The sequence below is a fragment of the Homo sapiens genome, chromosome 18 (assembly GCF_000001405.40).
Source record: "Homo sapiens chromosome 18, GRCh38.p14 Primary Assembly".
NCBI lineage: Eukaryota > Metazoa > Chordata > Mammalia > Primates > Hominidae > Homo > Homo sapiens.
Window position 1 is genome coordinate 46,549,992 of NC_000018.10, and position 18,426 is coordinate 46,568,417.

At 48.0% G+C, this 18,426-nt stretch overlaps 1 protein-coding gene across 17 annotated transcripts in view; it reads right to left on the reverse strand.

Moving 5' to 3' along the window:
• The window catches only part of LOXHD1 (lipoxygenase homology PLAT domains 1), a 180,260-nt gene that overhangs the window by 73,031 nt on the left and 88,803 nt on the right, over window positions 1–18,426 (reverse strand). For 10 of the 17 annotated variants that reach the window (NM_144612.7, NM_001384474.1, XM_047437289.1 and 7 more), the window contains 5 exons: window positions 16,266–16,458; window positions 13,074–13,234; window positions 10,092–10,554; window positions 9,457–9,611; window positions 7,365–7,498 (listed from right to left, as the gene is read on the reverse strand). In NM_144612.7, coding sequence (NP_653213.6) covers window positions 7,365–7,498; window positions 9,457–9,611; window positions 10,092–10,554; window positions 13,074–13,234; window positions 16,266–16,458 — 1,106 coding nt within the window. Of the gene's footprint in view, window positions 1–6,656; window positions 6,779–7,364; window positions 7,499–7,910; window positions 8,065–9,178; window positions 9,322–9,456; window positions 9,612–10,091; window positions 10,555–13,073; window positions 13,235–16,265; window positions 16,459–18,426 lie in introns of those variants that run through there. The other 7 variants (NM_001308013.2, XM_024451088.2, XM_024451086.2 and 4 more) reach the window with 4 other exon arrangements.

An 18,426-nucleotide genomic window follows, 5' to 3' on the forward strand; every position in this document is an offset into this window, starting at 1 on the left:
AAATGCAGCTAGTTAGAGTATTGAAAGAAAAAGGAAAGTAGCACAATCTCATTTAATCAACAAGCCAATAAATGTGGACAAGGTGACAAAGTAGCAGAGCCAATGATTAAGTGACTTAACAAAGATACCCTAATTAAAGACAACGTACTCCCAAATATCCCACCATTTCTGTCATGTGTTCTGAAACCCAAATATTAGAGGCTCATAGCTTTGGATGCTGAAGAACACTGAATTTTTAGGTTATTTGTTAATATACATGGAATCCCTGGGCTGTAAGGGATTTTTAAGAGTCAGCGTGTGGGCCGGGCACGGTGGCTCACGCCAGTAATCCCAGCACTTTGGGAGGCCGAGGCGGGTGGATCATGAGGTCAGGAGATCGAGACCATCCTGGCTAACAAGGTGAAACCCCGTCTCTACTAAAAATACAAAAAATTAGCCGGGCGCGGTGGCGGGCGCCTGTAGTCCCAGCTACTCGGGAGGCTGAGGCAGGAGAATGGCGTGAACCCAGGAAGCGGAGCTTGCAGTGAGCCGAGATTGCGCCACTGCAGTCCGCAGTCCGGCCTGGGCGACAGAGCGAGACTCCGTCTCAAAAAAAAAAAAAAAAAAAAAAGAGTCAGCGTGTGATCTGTCAAATCAGTTTTCCACTATAAGGACGATCACAGAAGCATATGTTGAGGAAAAGCTTCCATCAACCAGGGTCCCTGAGTGAACATGCTGAGCAAAGTCCCCTGATACCCTACATCAGACATATAAGTGAGAAATAAATGTTTGTTGTGTTAGGCCACTGGCATTTTAGGCCTGTTTGTTACTTAGCAGAACCTAGCCTATTCTGACTGATACAACTTGAGCATTATTCTCAAATAAATGGTAATTGAAGTGATAAGGATGGAAGAGGTTGCTCAGGGAGTATATTTGTCTGTTCCTCCTGCTGGGAAAACTATGACCCCATGAATGCAGAGTCTGCTTACTCATTGTTGTATCCACATCCCCTGGCATACAAGGCACTCATAATATCAATAGAATTGAAAGCCATTGTCTCCTCTGGGGGTAAACCTTTCTCATCCCCTTCTTCAAAATTCCTGAGATAACTCCTAAATTTCTTTTCTTTTCTTTTCTTTTTTTTTTTTTTGAGACAGAGTCTCGCTCTGTCTCCCAGACTGGAGTGCAGTGGCGCAATCTCGGCTCACTGCAAGCTCCACCTCCTGGGTTGACGCCATTCTCCTGCCTCAGCCTCCCAAGCAGCTGGGTCTACAGGCACTCACCACCACGTCTGGCTAATTTTTTGTATTTTTTAGTAGATACGGGGTTTCACCGTGTTAGCCAGGATGGTCTCGATCTCCTGACCTTGTGATCCACCCACCCTGGCCTCCCGAAGTGCTGGGATTATAGGCATGAGCCACCACACCCGGCCAACTCCTAAGTTCCTTAATTAGCCACCACTCTTTCCTTGAAGATGCACGTTCTTTATTCTAGCATTCTTTTGCCTAAGATGGTGCCAACCCTTAGACTCCAGGAATTGTCTGAGCAGCACAAAGGAGGGAAGGAAAAACTAGCCTCTTCTTATTCTAAATATGACATCACTATTAATAAAAAAAATCAATCTAGTGCCTTTGTAAACTGTCATTTTTTTTCAGAGTGGCCAAGGAGCAGGGCCTCTCAAGCTAGAGAAGGCAGGAGGAGTTCAAACATAAAATTTTCTGATATCACAATCTTGTAAAAAGATATCACAATCTTGTAAAAAGAGTAGTCCTTTACCAAAGGGATGTGAGGCTGTGTGCAGAGCCCAGGTTGACCCAAGGGAGACCTCAGATCCCGGGACACCCCATTAAAATCCATCTAAAAAGGTGGTACGTACATACAATGAAATATTATTCAGCCTTAAAAAGGAAGGACATCCTGTCATGTACTACAACACGGATGAAGCTTGAGGACAACACACTAAGTGAAACAAGCTAGACACAAAAAGACAAATTCTGTAGGATTCCATTTCTATGAGGTCCCTAGAGTACTCAAAGTCATAGAGACAAAAAGTGGAATGGTGGTTACCAGGGGCTGGGAGGAGGTGGAAAAGGGAAGTAATTGTTTAATGGGTATAGTTTCAGTCATGCAAGATGAAAAAAATCTGGAGATCTGATACACAACAATGTGAATATACTTAACACTATTGAACTGTACACTTAAAAATGGTTAAGGTAATAAATTGTATGTCATGTGTTTTCTTACACAATTTTTTTTTTAAATCCAACTCACTTGAGGCAGTAAAAAAACAAAACAAAACAAAACATTCACAGCCCACAGCTGCAAACTAGCATTAAACAGGCTTTCTCATGCAATCTTAATCACTTTTTGCCAGCCTGGGACTCCTATAAAGGACCTCAAATATCTTCCATTTAGAAACAAGAGCATTTTCTTTTTGGCAATTGAATTGCAGATCAATAAACCTGCACCCCCAACCCCCTCCTCCTTGTGTTTCCACCATCTTAGGCTTCTCTGCTCTCCAAACAGCCTCTGAGGCTAGGAGGGCTAGGAGTGGTTCTGCTGAGACCCGGACTGCCATCTACCAACTGGACAGCACAGCCCCTGGACCACACAGAGCTCTCCCTTGGGGTGACTTCGCAGGGAGCCAAGGCCTCCACAGCTTTATATCTTCTCCCAATCCTTTCGGTTCAGGCCAGCATCTCCCACCAGTGCCTGACCCCAGCTGGCATTCTCTTGCTTCTGTCTTTTCCTCCCTGTAAAATCTGGCCAACCAAAAGCCTGGGTGTGTTTTCAAGCTCCTCAGCATGGCTTTGGATGCCCTCATCTGCTCCTCTCCAGCCTCCCTTTCCGTTTTTCCTGTTTCCCACCCCTTCATGTCCCTTATGCACCAAATAGAATTACTCATTCCTTTCTGTGTGTGCCCCTCAATTGCCCAATTCTGTGCCACCTGCATCACATTTTTTCAACCATTTCTAATGTTCTTTTTCCCAAGCACCAAACAAGGCTGCTGCTCATGAAGGCCCATCTCAGATGCCATCTGGCCCCAAAGATGTCCCCACCCATGACTCCCTCCTCTGAGGTCAACCCTGAGACAACCACCACTGTCACTGTGCCTTGTAGTCACCTGTGTTTTATCTCCTTCACTTGGTAACAGTGTTAGCTCCTTAAGAATAATCCCACGCATTCCTGCAGCCTTTCCCAGCTGTCAAGCCACTTTTCCATGTTAACTAATTGGACTCTCATTGCCAAGGGGAAAGAACTACTGCTGTGTTGCACTGGGATCAGGAAGGGTGCTGGGCGCCTAAACACATTTTCTCATCTAGTCCTCATGATGATTTCCTGGGTGAGGTTTATTATGCCCGTTGTACAGATGGAAGGCCTGAGGCTCAGAGGAGTAAAGTGCCTTTCCCAAGGCCACATAACAGTGGAAGAGAAAGTACTTAAACCTAAATCATCAGCCTCCTAGACCATCAGGGTTCCTTTCTTCAAAAACAGAGTCATAACTGAGCAGCTAGTTAACCCCCAGCACTTAGCACAGCATGTGTTTGTCAAATTAATGAATAAATCAACATATTAACCATCATTTTTACTCATTAGTGTATTTAATAAGTATTTATGGTATGCCTGTAGTGTGCCAGACATTCTTCTACGTGCTGGGGTGGACACAGCAGTAAATGAAACAGATGAGGCCATTAACGACATGGAACTTACATTCTATTGTGGGGAGATGAGCAGCACCTAAATACACAAGCTTTTTGTAGGTCAGATGATAAGCTGATATAGAGAAAAATAAACAGACAAGAGAAATGAGGGGAAGAGGGTACGCTAGGCCTCACTGAGAAGGTGACATTTGAGCAGAGGCCTGCCTGAAGAAAGCATGACAGGGAGCCACTGGGGGAAGGACTGCTAGGGAGCGTGGACAGCAAATGCAAAGGCCTTGAGGTGGGACCATGTCTGTTGGGTTCAAGGAACAGCAAGGAGTGAGCAAGGGGGAATCAGAATAGAGAGATGAGGGGCATAGAGCAGACCTGCGGGCTGAGCTGACCACCAAACATGCTTTGGCTTTGACTCTGAGTGACCAGGAGCTTCTGCAGGATTTGGAGCAGAGGAGTGGTGTGATCCTGGTCACTGGGCTGCTGTAGGCAATAGGAGGGCCTTGGGCAAGCATGGATCAGGTCAGGAAGCTTCGATCAGGGGGTGGGGATGGTGAAGATAGAAGGGATGAGGTCAGACTCATGCTCTTCTGATGGAAGGCCCAACAGGTTCTGCCAATGGGCTGGGGACAGGGCATGAGTGGCAGAGAGGCATCCAAGAGGTCTAGTCATGGAGGATGTTGACTGGACATGTCAACAGTGAGGGAGATGTCAGTGTTCTCAAATCCTTTTGGCTGCAAAGGCCTTATTTCAGAGCTCATAAAGGTCATGGAGAGCCTAGGGAAGGCCCTAGGTATTGACAGAAAAGGTGGTATCTCTCCAAGAAAGGGGAGATTCACTATTCTGATTCGGTTTCTTCTGAACTTCTATAATTTTTTGTCTAGCTCCCACAGTAGGCTTTGCATAGAGTTGCTCTTGGCTTGAAGATTGTTAAGGCCAGCTCATCACAGAGCCCTGGCAGACTGCTACTTCAATAGCAAAGGAAGCAAAGGACTGTCAACTAGCCATGCCAACAGAAAGAGATGGGGAGGGAAGAGGAGATGAGGGAAGGGGAGAGTGGAGGGAGGAAGAAAGAAGAGAAAGGGAGGGGGGAAAAGAAGAGTAATGAGAAGACTCTATTCACAAGAGCAATAAAATATAATATACCTGGGCATAAACTTAACAAGAATGTGTAGCAGTTATGTGTAGGAAATTGTAAAGCATTACTGAGGTACATAAACAGCTGGATAAATGGAAAAGTGTACCGGAGGGTAGCACTTATTCTAAATATGCAATTCTCTACACATACACTTAATGGCATAACAATCAAAATTCCAAGAGGATTTTTTTTTCAAGTCACTTAATGTCTTGATTTGAAAAAGGCAAGAATAGCTAATATTTTTAAAGAATAATGAAGGGGGACAAGTACTGACAGGCATTACTATAGATTGTAAAGCTATAATAATGTTTAAATTGTTGGGCTAGCCGAGAAATGCCAAATCAGTGGCAGAGAATTACTAACCCTGATGGAGCTGCAAGGGGAAGCTGGGGATGTTCACAGTTTGTCCCCAGCCTCATGGTTCTGTGGCACTTTTTCCTTTCCAAGCTTAAATGCCTTGGATTTTCAGAACATCTTAAGAAGTTAGGCTGGCAACATTAAGCCCATTTATCAGAAGAGGAAACAAAAGCCCATAAAGATGGCATGACTTGTCCAGGGTGACCTGATGAGTTTCTGGCAGAGGTCAGACTCCAGGTCAGGACCCTGGTTCCCAGCCATGGGGCTGTCCTACGGTCTTTATGTGGTTTCACAATGACCTCACAGAAAACCATGACAATGGGCTGTCTGTGAGCTGTGGTTCAGTGTTCCCTCGGGCTGGTAGGGGAGGGTGGGGTGGGAGATGGGAGAACCCTGTCACCTCCTGCCCTGCACAGAGGGGAGCCCAACAAGTCTATGGGCTGGAAAGTTGATTTAATTCAACAAATATTTGTTGATAGGGTGCCCATTACATTCTAGGCACTGGCAGGCCCTCAGCAGCCCCAAAGCCCACTCAGGATCACTCATGCTTTCTTCTCTGTCCCACTCCACTCATACAAGGGGACTTCTCTCCTTTCTCTTGCCCTTGGGCCCCTTACACCCAAGGGGCAATGAGGCCTAATGAAAACACGTTCAATTCAACATAGACAGTCTGGAGTTCTGGTCCTAGCTGTGGCACTGACTGATTATGGGGCTGTGGCTTCACCTCCCTGGGGTGTGGACCTATGGGAAGACATAACACTCTCTTCCCAGCCCAACTCATGTGGCAGCTGTGAGCCTCCACCAGGGGTCAGCAAATTACGGCCTTCAGGCCCAATCGGGCCTACCCTGCTTGCGGACATCCATAAGCTATGCATGGATTCACATTTTTAAATGGCTGGAGGAAAAATCTAAGGAAGGATAATATTTTTTGACATGTGAAAATTATATGAATTTCAAATTTCAGTGTCCAACACTGAAATTTGAAATTCATATAATTTTCACATGTCAAAATGACACAGCCATGCCCAATCATTTAGGCATCATCTATGACTGCTTTTGTGTTACACCAGCAAAGCTGTTGTTCCAGAGACCAAATGCTTGCAAAACCTAAAATATTTACTATCTGGTCTTTACACAAAATGTTTGCTGATCCCTGGTATAGAATATTAAAAGAATGTACTAGAAGTTGCTTTATACGTTGAGAGGCTTATGGGTGAGCTATGCCTAGGCATGGAAACTGGACCAAGGAAGGTCTGACAGGGATTGGAAATCCTGTCTCTCTAAACAGATGGACCTCAAGAGTTGCTGGTCTGGGGGATCTATTGGACTGTCATCTCACAGGGCAGGTGACACTAGGGGCTGCCAATGAGAGAAGAGGGAGAGAGGCAATGCCCATCCAGCCTGCAACGTGGGCAAACCTGCTCTGGTGGCCATGACAGGCAACACAGCCAGCCCACCCTCACCCTCAGATGTCACGCAGCCCACTCTCAGCCTCAGACATCACAACCAGCCCACCCTCATCCTCATACCTGCCCACCCTCATTCTCAGATGTCATCCAGTCCACCCTCACCCTCGGATGTCACAGCCAGCTCGCCCTCATCCTCCAGTGTCACAGCCAGCCCACTCTCATCCTCCAACGTCACCCAGCCCACCCTCAGTCTCAGACATCACAGCCAGCCCACCCTCACCCTCACACACACCCACCCTCATTCTCAGATGTCACCCAGTCCACCCTCACCCTGTGACGTCACAGCCACTCTGACCTTCCAGTGTCACAGCCAGCCCACCCTCACCCTCCAATGTCATCCAGCTCACCCTCAGCCTCAGACATCACCACCAGCCCACCCTCACCCTCATACTCACCCACTCTCATTTTCAGATGTCACCCAGTCCACCCTTACTTTTCGACGTCACAGCCAGTCCACCCTCACCCTCCAATGTCACACCCAGCCCACCTGCACCCTCAGACATAACCCAGCTCACCCTCAGCCTCAGACATCACCCCCAGCCCGCCCTTACCCTCATACCCGCCCACCCTCATTCTCAGTGCACCCCAGTCCACCCTTACTTTTGGATGTCACGGCCAGTACACCTCACCCTTAGGTGTCACCCAGCCCACCCTCACCCTCCACCGTCACAGCCGGCCCACCCCCAGTCTTCTTCCAGGACTACCTCTGTGGCAGACATGGCCTCCCTCAGAGCAACACCCCTCCCTGCCCACTGCCCCCACACTCACGTGATCTCGTTGTTCATGTCAGTAATGTCTATTCTGTCCAGGAACCAGCCTGCTCTGTTGCCTGTGTTGTCGTGGCGAATCCGAATCTTGGTCAGGGCCCCCAGGTCAATGGCATAGATGGTGAAGGTGTCTGTCTGGGAAGGGCCAGGGAACACTCAGTGGGGTAAGACCTACCCCTCCCCACATGGCCATCAGCCCCATCCTCCCAAGAACCAGGGCAGCCAGCCAGAGGCCAATGGTGAGACCCAAAGCAACCAGGAGTGGGGATGATGGAGAATGTCACTTAGTAGTCTGGTGTTTGGTCTGCACAATTGTTTCCCTAACTTGTCCCTGCCAGGAGATCTTCTCACTCTCATGTCCAGGAAGGTGGAAGGAGGAGAGGAAGAGTGAAGGTGACCTTGAGAGGCAGAAGAGAAGATAGGTTTGCTGGATGCCCACATCTGTGGTGGGTGTTTTGTGTGCAAGAGAGGGGGGTGCACTGAAACCCTCTGCAATGTGTGCAGGTGTGTGCATAATCTGCTTCAATCACATATTTGTATTAAGTACCTGCTATGAGCTGGTGCTGTGCAAATCCAAAGTGACTGTCAGAAACTGAAGACGGATTTGCCCACCATTTAGGTGTGAAGAGGGCCATATGGATCACACCATGTGAATGCACACACTGCTCCATGCACGGGAGGAAGCAGACCACACCAGGAACCTATAAGTAAATGGGGCCTTCTTGGATATAACTTTTTTGACTCTTAATTTTGAAAAAGATTTTAAATCTACAGAAAACTTTCAGAAATAGTATGATGAAAGTTCATATGCCTTCATTTAGATTCTGCACTTATTTGTAACATTTGCTTTCTCACTCTGTCATCTCTCTTGCACTCTCTCTCTTGCTGTATGTTTTTCTAAATCATTTGAAAGTAAGTGGCAGATACCATGATTCTTCATCCCTAAATTCTTCAACATGGATTTCCCAAGAACAAGGATATTCTCATATAATCACACTAGAATGATCCAATTCAGAAAACTTAACATCAACATAATGCTATTATATAATATACAGTCCATGTTCAAATTTTACCAGTTGCACAAGTTATGTAGTCCTCTATAGAAATTTTTTCCTAATCCAGAAATATGTGGCTATAATTTTTAAAGGAGAACACTGAAACGCAGAAATAAACTACATCCTCAAGTCAAGGGGAAGATTCTTTAAAGAAAAAGCAGGGGGCCCCTGAAATAAATCAAGAAATGAGCCCAGAAATATGTTAATTAATTTAGTTCATTTTTAAAAAATCTGTGTTAATGAGAGAATTTGGCTTTCGGGTAGAGGCAGGAATGGGAAGGGTGAGATAAGAGATAGTTTTCTAGCCAGGGGATATTATAAAATCTTGAAGGGCAAAGATGACGGCTTTATTTTTCATGACTTTCCCACTACACCTGGAAGAGTAAGGTATGTGTATTTCTTTTCATGGATTCCCACTGCATTAGGATACAGTTCTGGCTTCTCAGCTTGTCTCTTAAGCCTCTCATGACCCCACCCACCCCACACCCTAAATTGTTCTTATCCAAGCTTATCCACTGGGGCTTAGCACCGACCACAGCTCAGCTGGAAGACACACTGTCCTAAACTGGCCTCCCCCATTTCCACCTCCATATCTTTGCTCATGTGGTTCCATCTTCTGAGAACATCTTCCACTGTTGCCTTTATATGTCTACACCATACTCACCTGCCAAGGCCCAGTTTAAGTTGCTCCCTCCCCCTAGTTTTCCCCCAAGACACCATCTTGCGGCGAGGACTTCCTCTTGAACCCCCGCATCCCTACCAAGTGCCTCAGCATCTGCCACTCAACGCCATTCTCTGTTTGTTCCTGTGGGTCAGCTGGCCCATGGGCTCTAGGTGCTGGGGCCCTGCCTGCAATTCTCTCATAACCCCTCCACAAAGTATCAGTGTTACTGAAGAGGTACTGCCATGAAACCTGGTGGGATGAACAAGTCACACTGCCAAACACAGCAGCCATTGTGCTGCGATGGGCTGCCATGGGAATCTCAGAGGGCACCAAACCCACAGCCCCCACCCAGGGGCCAGAGACCCTCACCCTACCTGCCCCTGCTCAAATTTGTTGGACTTGTCTGACTTCTTCAGGGGTCGTTCGCCCGTGTCTCCATACTCCTCGCCGTAGATGGTTAGGTAGACGTTAGCATCAGTGCCGGCCTTGGGCACATTCCCCGTGACCACCTGAACCTCATAGGTGTTTCCTGTAGACACAGAAAGATGCAGTGTGGAGGGCCTCATGGCCATGGGGTGTTTGGACCTGAGGCACAGCCTCTCAGATCCAGCCAGATCCTAGAACAGAGGGATCTTCAGATGCATCTACACTAACCTGGGACTGAAACTGCCCACACTCCCAACCCAAGACTCCTTTACCATGAAGCCAGCAGGCAGCCCTCCTACCTCATGACCCCTCAGTCAGTTGTATTGAGTCATATCAGGGCTCCTCCCAAAGTCATCAATTCTTCCTGAGAACCTCAGAACAAGCGCCATGCTTATCCCCAAACAGCAGTGTCAATGGTGGCATTTCACACACAGGTCAAGAGAGCTATTTGGGAACCATGATGGGTGCCCACCTATTTGGCCTCCACGTGAGGGGGATCTAGGCCCCCTGCCCCCAGTGGGCCCCCTTTAGGGGAACTGTCTGGCCACTCCCTCCCCACCCCCACCCCCCACGACCCACTTACGCTCAGGACCCGGCTTGCCAGCTGGCACCAACTCCACGACAAGTTCGTTGTCCTCCTTGCCCCGGGCCAGCCAGCGGTGGGCTTCGAACTTGTGCTGCTCAATCACCTCCTGCATCCCCGGCCCAAACTCCTCCTCTTCCTCCTCTTCTTCCATCTCCTCCTCCTCTGACGAGGACTCCTCTGATGAGGACGACTCCTCTTCCTCCCCCTCGTCCTCTTCGTCGCTGCCCTTCCTCTTCTTCTTCTTCCTCTGCAGCTTGGCCTTCAGCCGCTCCTTCTTGAGCAGCTGCCGCAGCTTGTCCTTCTCCTTCTTCTTCCGGGCCTCCTCCTCCGGCGTGAGGTCCACCTCCCGCACCACCAGGTGCCGCAGCCACACGGTGTCCACGAACCAGCTGGGCCCAAAGCCCTCGCCCGTGTGCCCGAGCCGGAGCTTATAGACCTCGCCCACGTCGGCCGCCTCAAGCTGTTCAAAGGGCAGGGCAGCGGCTGTCGTGGCCCCAGCGTCCTCCCCAACGCCCCCAACACCCCCGCCCAACAAAGAGCCAGGCACAAGGCCTGTTTGCTAAGCTGCAGGATGGAGAGGGCTGGGGCCTCTGTGCTCAGATCCTTCCACCACCTCCCTCTCTCCGGCCACACCTGTCCTGGGTCCCCTGGGATTACCTGGCCCCATCCTCCAACAAAGTTTATTTCTTCCAACTTCTGTGTGGGCAAGCTGGTCTCCCTCTTCTCTCTTAAACACATATGCCTGCACGTATACACACACACACGCACGCGCGCGCGCGCGCCTCATTCCTATGATTTCTGTCCCTATCATGGCTCATACAGTTTCCTTACTTGGCCTGCCTTTATCCCCCTCCTCTACTTGCAGCTAAAATCTATTCATTCAGGTTCCTGTGTTTCATCACTTTTTTTAACTTTGTGCCTCTGTGTTCTCTTTACAAAAATTTTCAGTGTTAACCGTATATAACTTTCGTAATAAGCAAAAAACAAAAGTGCTCTTTTTCAATAACAAAAATTTCACCCACACCCACAGAGGCCCAAGCTCCCTCCTCCCCCAACCCTGAGCACATGGCCTCAGCCTGACTGCCCCTTCCCCAAGAGCAGAGAGGGGGTCCAGGGTTTAGCTGTGGTGCCGGTTTGGCCTGGATGCCCTCTTCATCCTCACAAGCTGGTCTCTGCCCTCTTGATTATGAGTTCCTTAAAGGCGGAGACCATCATTTTCAGTCTCTACCAGGATGGGCATAGCACATAACTGGCCCAAAGGGCAGTGTTGATGGCATCATCGACTCTAGATCATGAGACCTGAGCTCTGTCCTGAGCCCCAGGCTCTGAGGAAGGACCCACATTAAGGTAGGGTCTGGTCCGTCCCCTGCAGCACTCAGGGTAGGGCTCACATGGGGGTTGTTTCTAGTCAGAGTCCTCCCAAGCTTCCTGATGCTGATGAGCCCCTGTCTGGGGTTTGATCCTTCTCAAAGCCTGTCCCACCAGTTCTTTCACTGAGTGCCAGGGCAAACTGAGGCCAAGGCTGTCCCATGAGTTCCACAGTGTCCTACAATTCAAGTCCAGACCTAGATGAGAACTCAGGCCTTCTGACCCCCTGTTCATGAGTCCACAATGCAGTCAACAAACCACCTTTGCCAGAAAATTACCAGTCATGGTAGAGCCCAGGGCCCCTGGGAGAGTGGAATTTATACTTCTCAGCTACTTAGGAGAAAGGCTCTGGACCTGGTAAGTCACTTCTTCACGGCATTAGCTCTCCTCTTCAGCATTTCCCAGGTTACAGCACCCCTGCAATCAACCTTGCCAAGGAGGCCAGCTTGCTGCACCACTGGCCTCCCTCACATCTGTCTGCCCAGCCGTGCCTTCATCCACCACCACATCCAGTAAATTGGCATCCAGAAGACACGCTATCCAGTTCCATCTCCATAACTGGGCACTCCATCCCAAGTGCATTCCCTGACATTGACTCTTGATCATTACAGGGACTGTGAAGCCAGCCGGGCAGGTATTATAAAGCTAGGTTTTAACTGATGAGGAAGTGGAGGCTCAGAGAGCTAAAATACTTGGTCCTCTGCCTCCTCAGCAGTGTATGAGGGTGTCTGGCTCAATGAGGCTCCTTCCAGCTCTGATGTTCCAGACACTTATGACTCTGGCCCAGGTCCTAGTTCAGCCAGGACTGTCTTCCCTGGGCACCGGGTAAGGACTCTTTGCTGAAGGCTAAGGTGCTCCTGGCATGCAGAAACACAAGGCACCCAGCATGAACATGCTGCCTGCACACATATATCTGCACATGCACACACATTGTCATATCTATAATAAAACATTCATGTTTCTCCTAAGGGGCGCCACCCTTGCATCCTCCTCTCTTGCCAACACCATGCCCACATTCTTATCTCTTTTTTCCTTCTATTGAAAGACTTGGAAAGGAAGAACGGAGACCTGGGATACTCAGGAAACAGCCATAAAATTCCAAGTCTCTCAGTGTCTTGGCTGGGAAGCATTTCCTTGACATCAGGCTTGAGAGAACTGTAGACTCAGAGGCCACAGGGCTGGGAATGAGTGGAGGAACTGCAGCCTTAGTGTCATCTTTTGCAAGATTAGAATCACCTGCTCCCATGGTTCTCAGGGTCGGCAGCATGTTAGTATCCCTGGAGGAGCTTTTCAACGTACACCCAGAAAATATATCCCATCCCCAGAGGTTCTGATTTGCCTGGTATGGGGCGTGCACCAGGCAGCACTTTTTTCTTAAAGCTCCCCAGGTGACTGTAACATGAGGCCAGGGGTGGGAATCACTGATCTAGTCCAATCCCCTCATTTTAGGCCGAAAGCTCAGGTCTGGAGAGAGGAAGCATTTTCCACCCAACTGGAGGGAGGCAGCCCATTCTCGGGTGAGTATTGACTGAGGAAATTAGTACACCCAGGGAAGCATCTTGGTGTCCACTGAGCCTGCTGTTGGCACCCCCGCTCCTCGACCCCACATACCTGGAATGTGTCCTTGGACGCCCGTTCAAAAACTTTTGAGCGGCTGGAGAGGAAGAGCACTTCTGTCTTGCCTTTCTCTCCATAGATCTGCATGTAGACTCGGGCACTGGTGCCTGCGCCACCCACATCTCCTGTCCAAATCTCAACCTCATAGTGGACCACTGGGTGGGCACGTGCAGAAGAAGTGGAACATTTAGTAATAATAACAATAACAATGATAGTAACAAAACAAACCTTTCCTGAGCCTGTTCCAGGTGCCTGGCGCTTTACAGTCATTCACTTATCTAATCCTCTCCTCAACACCCTGAGTAAGCACAATCATTCCCATTTTGCAGGTAAACAAAGTGAAGCTTAGAGGAGAATAAGTGGTGGAAATGCCAAATCTAAGCAATCAGACACACACCCCAGTCATCCTCTGCACCACACGCACCAGGAAGGAGGAGGAGTCACATACCAGCTGGCGATCCCTGCTGTGTGCCTGCCTGCTACAGTTTGCATGTTTGTCCTCTCCAAAACTCATGCTGAAATGTCATTGCCATTGTAACCGTATTAAAAGGTGGGACCTTTAAGGAGTGATTAGGCCCCCCAAAATGCTTATGTTGAAGCCACTAACCCCAATACCTCAGAATGTAACTGTATCTGGAGATAAGAGTCTTTAAAGAGGTGACTAGTTTAAATGAGACCCCCAAGGGCAGGCCCTAATCCAAGCTGATTGGCGTCCTTATAAGAAAAGGAAATTGTGGCACACAGAGAGACACCAGGGATGTGGAGAGACACCAGGGATGTGGAGAGACCAGGTGAGTCCACAGTGATGAGGCAGCCCTAGCACAGTAATGCAGAGAGCAGTGAGCGCAGAGAGAGCGATCCATCGAAAAAGGAGACTCACTCCAGAAAAAACAAGCTCTACAAAAGACGAAAAGCAATTATCATAAGGCAGGTGATTCAGCAGTGAATAATATTGACATAATAATATAAAAATTGAACACTGATTTAGATGTTTTGAAGGCTGGAAGGAGGGGGAGAGAGAGAGTGTGTGTGTGTGTGTGTGTGTGTGCACGCACACACGCACACATGAGGGCCCATACAAGTGCTTGTGTATGTTAAAAGAGCTAAATCCTCTTTCATAGTAGGAAGTCAATAGATAACGTCTAAGACTGTAAAATTAAAAAATTGAGGCCAGGCACGGTGGTTCAGGCCTGTAATTCCACTGCTTTGTAAATCCACTGAGGCAGAAGGATTGCTTGAGGCCAGGAGTTCAAGATCAGCCTGGGCAACACAACAAGATCCCCATCTCTACAAAAATAAAATAAAAATAAAAATTGAGGGGTGTGGTGGCACGTGCCTGTAGTCCCAGCTACTCAAGAGGCTGAGGCAGGGGGATCGCTCGAGCCTGGGAGTCAAGGCTGCAATGAGTTATGATTGTGTCACTGCACTCCAGCCTGGGTGCCAGAGCAACATCCTGTCTCTAAAAACTAAATAAATAAAAATTGATAGGTATATTGTTTAAAAATATGGAGCTAAATTTTAGAGGAAAAATCTAAAGTAAGGTTGTTGGCATTGAAGAAGGGGGGTTGGGGTAAGGGGAAGAGGTAGGTAAGGGAACTATTGCTTTTTTATCTTTATCTTTATCTTCTTGATTAGTATCTATACTACTCTGATGGAATTCCAGTGTTGATTTATAAAATGAGGGAAGGAGTTGATTCTTATACTGGCAAGTGCCATTACAAAGCGTGTGTATATAACAGCCCTAAAGGAACTTGCAGGTTGCTTCAGATTAGACACACACACGAAAAGATATTCAAAGAGTTCTGGGAGCGGGAGAGGTGATTTCACACTGGGGTTCCCTCTCAGGGAAGCTGCTGTGGAAGTGAGCCTTGGGCAGTTGCTTTCAGGGCCAATGTAGAAATGCAGAGGTGAGGCCAGTCGTAGTGGCTCACGTCTATAATGCTAGCACTTTGGGAGCCCAAGGCGGGTGGATCACTGGGGGTCAGGAGTTGGAGACCAGCCTGGCCAACATGGTGAAACCCCATCTCTACTAAAAATACAAAAATTAGCCGGGTGTGGGGGCATACACCTGTAGTCCCAGCTACTCAGGAGGCTGAGGCAGGAGAATCGCTTGAACCCGGGAGGAGGTTGCAGTGAGCTGAGATTGTGCCACTGCACTCCAGCCTGGGCAACAGAGTAAGGCTCTGTCTCAAAAAAAAAAATGCAGAGGTGAGAAGGGACATTCTCTGTGCCAGGCTTTGGTCCCACTGTCTTCCTCCTCAGAAATGTCACCATCCTATCCAAAAAGGCCCTTCCCCCACACCATTGCTAACCCTTTATCCTGTTTCATGTTCCTCTTGGCTGTTCATTCGCATTATCCTATTATTGTCTGTCTCCCCTGTGGAATATAAAGCCTGTGAGCGCAAGGGTTTTGTTCGTTTTGCTCACAGCTGCCTCCACAAAGCTCAGAGCAGTGCTGGCAGAGAGAAACCCTCAATAGACCGTCATTCCTCAGTATCTGCAGGGACAGGTTCCAGAACCCCCAAGCATACCCGAATCTGAGGATGCTCAAGCCCCTCATATAAAATGGCATAGTATTTGTATATAACCTACACACATCCTCCTATACACTTTAAATATCTCTAGGTTACTTATAATACCTAATACAAGGTAAATGCTATATAAATAGTTGTTATACTGTACTGTTAGGGAATAATGACAAGGAAAAAAGTCTGTATATGTTCAGTACAGATGTAATTTTTTTCCAAATGTTTTTGATCCTCGATTGAATCCACCGATGCACAACCCATGGATGTGGAGGGCTGACTGTGTATTTTTTTTTGAATAAATGAATGAATAAAGAGTTTTGTCTCCTCAGCCAGTCTTCATCACAGAAGACATGAACTAGGTCTCAAACTCCTATACAGGGTTGAGTGTGCATTTCCTAATAAAGTCATTTGCTGCCTTTATTCCACAAAAAAGTATTTCATCCATTGGGTCCTCAGTTTCCTCATCTATAAAATGAGCCCTACTTTCCTGCAAGAACCATAGTACCAGAAGCAGTGAAAGCCCCCATTTTCTCCCTGCAGGACCCTACCAGCAGCACTTGTCAGCAAGACCTGCTTTGCCCCATGGTCCCTCCTCCTTCCCCTCAGCCCCATCCCCCATGGGAAACAATGGGTGGTCCCACCACAGCCTCCTCCATACATTTCTGGATCTCCACCACCTCGCTGGGATACAGCTCCACCTCCAGGCGCCCGTCAGCCTGGTTCTTGTCCAGCCAGCGGTTGGCGGGAAAGGTGTACTGCTTGCCTTGACGGGGCACACGGATCTGAACGCTGCCCAGGAACCAGCTGGCATGCATGCCAGTGCTGTCATGCCCAATCACCAGCCGGTTGATCTGAAGGAAACCCGAGTGAGGGTGAGCAAGGAGCCAGTGTGTAGAAACCTCCATGATCCCATCCCTACCTCCCCAAACACCAGCACAAAACACAACCCAGGTCTCCAGTCCCCAGGAGAGGGAAGATCCATGGGAAAGCTGGAATCCCATTCCTGCCCCACCATCAGCCAGCTGGGGCACCAGGGCATCACCTCACCTGCCTGTAGCCACCATTCCCTTCTCCTAAGCCCAGCACACCTCCCAGGGCCATAGTGAGAAACAAGAGGGGAGTGGAGGTGACACAAAATTTGAAAGCTCCACTAGTACTTAATCATGTTAGGTCATGGCCATGTGAGAAAGCAAATGTTTAAAATGTTTGCCATCACCTTCCAATAACTGTGTTATTGATTTGGTTTGGTTTTGAACAATACACAGTTGTATATATTTCTGCATTTCTTCAACATACCCATCCTGAAGGTGACAGAATATCACCCATCCTGAAGGTGACAGACTATGCAGGCAACCTCTCAGGACTCTGCGGTTCTGTGTCCAATTCCTCTGCTCACTCTTGGACCCAAGGAACACTTTTCTTTTTCCAATAACACTCTATAATTGCTTTGCGATTTTGCATTTTAACATCTTTGCCCCCATGGGCAACATAGAGGGGAGTGCAGATGATCATATCACCATCCTTATATGTACTTGGTTTTTCAATGTTTGGATTGCTTTTATGTTTTTTCTTTTTGAAATGCTGTATACAGAGCAATTTTAACATCAGATGGAATTATCAGATGGCCTTTGAGAACCCTTCCAGCCCTGAGATTCTCTCTGCAATGGTTTGAAGAGGTGATGTTAGCCATGAGTCTGGTGCCAAAAGGCCAGATTTAGAAAACTGTCCATGCGAGCCTGCTCTTGCTCTTCTGAGTCCTAAGTGCCTCTTTGCAGCTGGTAATGGCAACAACGTCAGAGCTAAGTGCATGCAGCCCAGTCCCCTGGAATTATCAGAAGAAAACCAGCTAAGCTTACAAAGCCTGAGAGCCCTCTGTGTGCATGTCAAGGGACAGGGAAGAGTTTTGTTGTTCTTCTGTGGTGCCAGGACTATGAAAGTCCCAGGGAGGGATTGGCTGAAAGGGTAAAGACAGAGGTAAGTGTCTGATATGACTGGATGCTCCCTAAGGGCAGACACTAGCTCAGTTCTACAACACTTCACACCTGACATAGACTAATTGTTCAGTAGCATTTACTCAGCACTTAGTATGAGCATGTGGGTGTTATTCACATATTTAATACTAATAGCAACCCCATTAGTATCTCATGTTGTTATGAATGAGAAAACGGAGGCAAACAGAGGTTAAATAACTTACATATGGCAGGTAAGTGGAAATGGGTCTCAAATATGCGGTTGGCAGCCAGAGCCCATGCTCCCAGCCTCTTGGCCATGCTGCTTGTTGAGGGGGTTTCGGAAACTCAGGAAGAAGCTTAAATGCCCTCCCACTGCCACCCTACTCTTCCTAGAGGTCTAACTTACCCGCCAGCTGCTGCCCAAAATCCTTTAGTAAAGGGAACAGCATTTTCACTCTGCAATTATTGATTCAGCTTAAAATGTAAATACATCTTGATAAATGAAAACATTGATTTAAGTTCATTAACCTCAAGGTATAAATGACTAACATGAGATCTTTCCCTGGAGTGAGTTTTGATGGGAGAAGAGATTCCTAGGACCTGAAATAGGGTGGGACTCCCAGAGAGGGAAGGGGCAGGAAAGATGAGGTTCCAGGTAGAGGGCTTGTTACCATCTCCATTTCCACCAAGCCACACCCTGGGAGCAGCAGGTAGTAACAAAAATCCCAGCTCAGGCATTTCTAGAGACATCCCCAATCCTCAAGTCCAAGATTTAGAACTGTGTTTCTCCAGGTGATGTCAAGGAAGATTCTCACCTTGGCCAAACTCTAGCCAGGCTCCTGAACCCTTTCTCAGCCTCAATCTTGG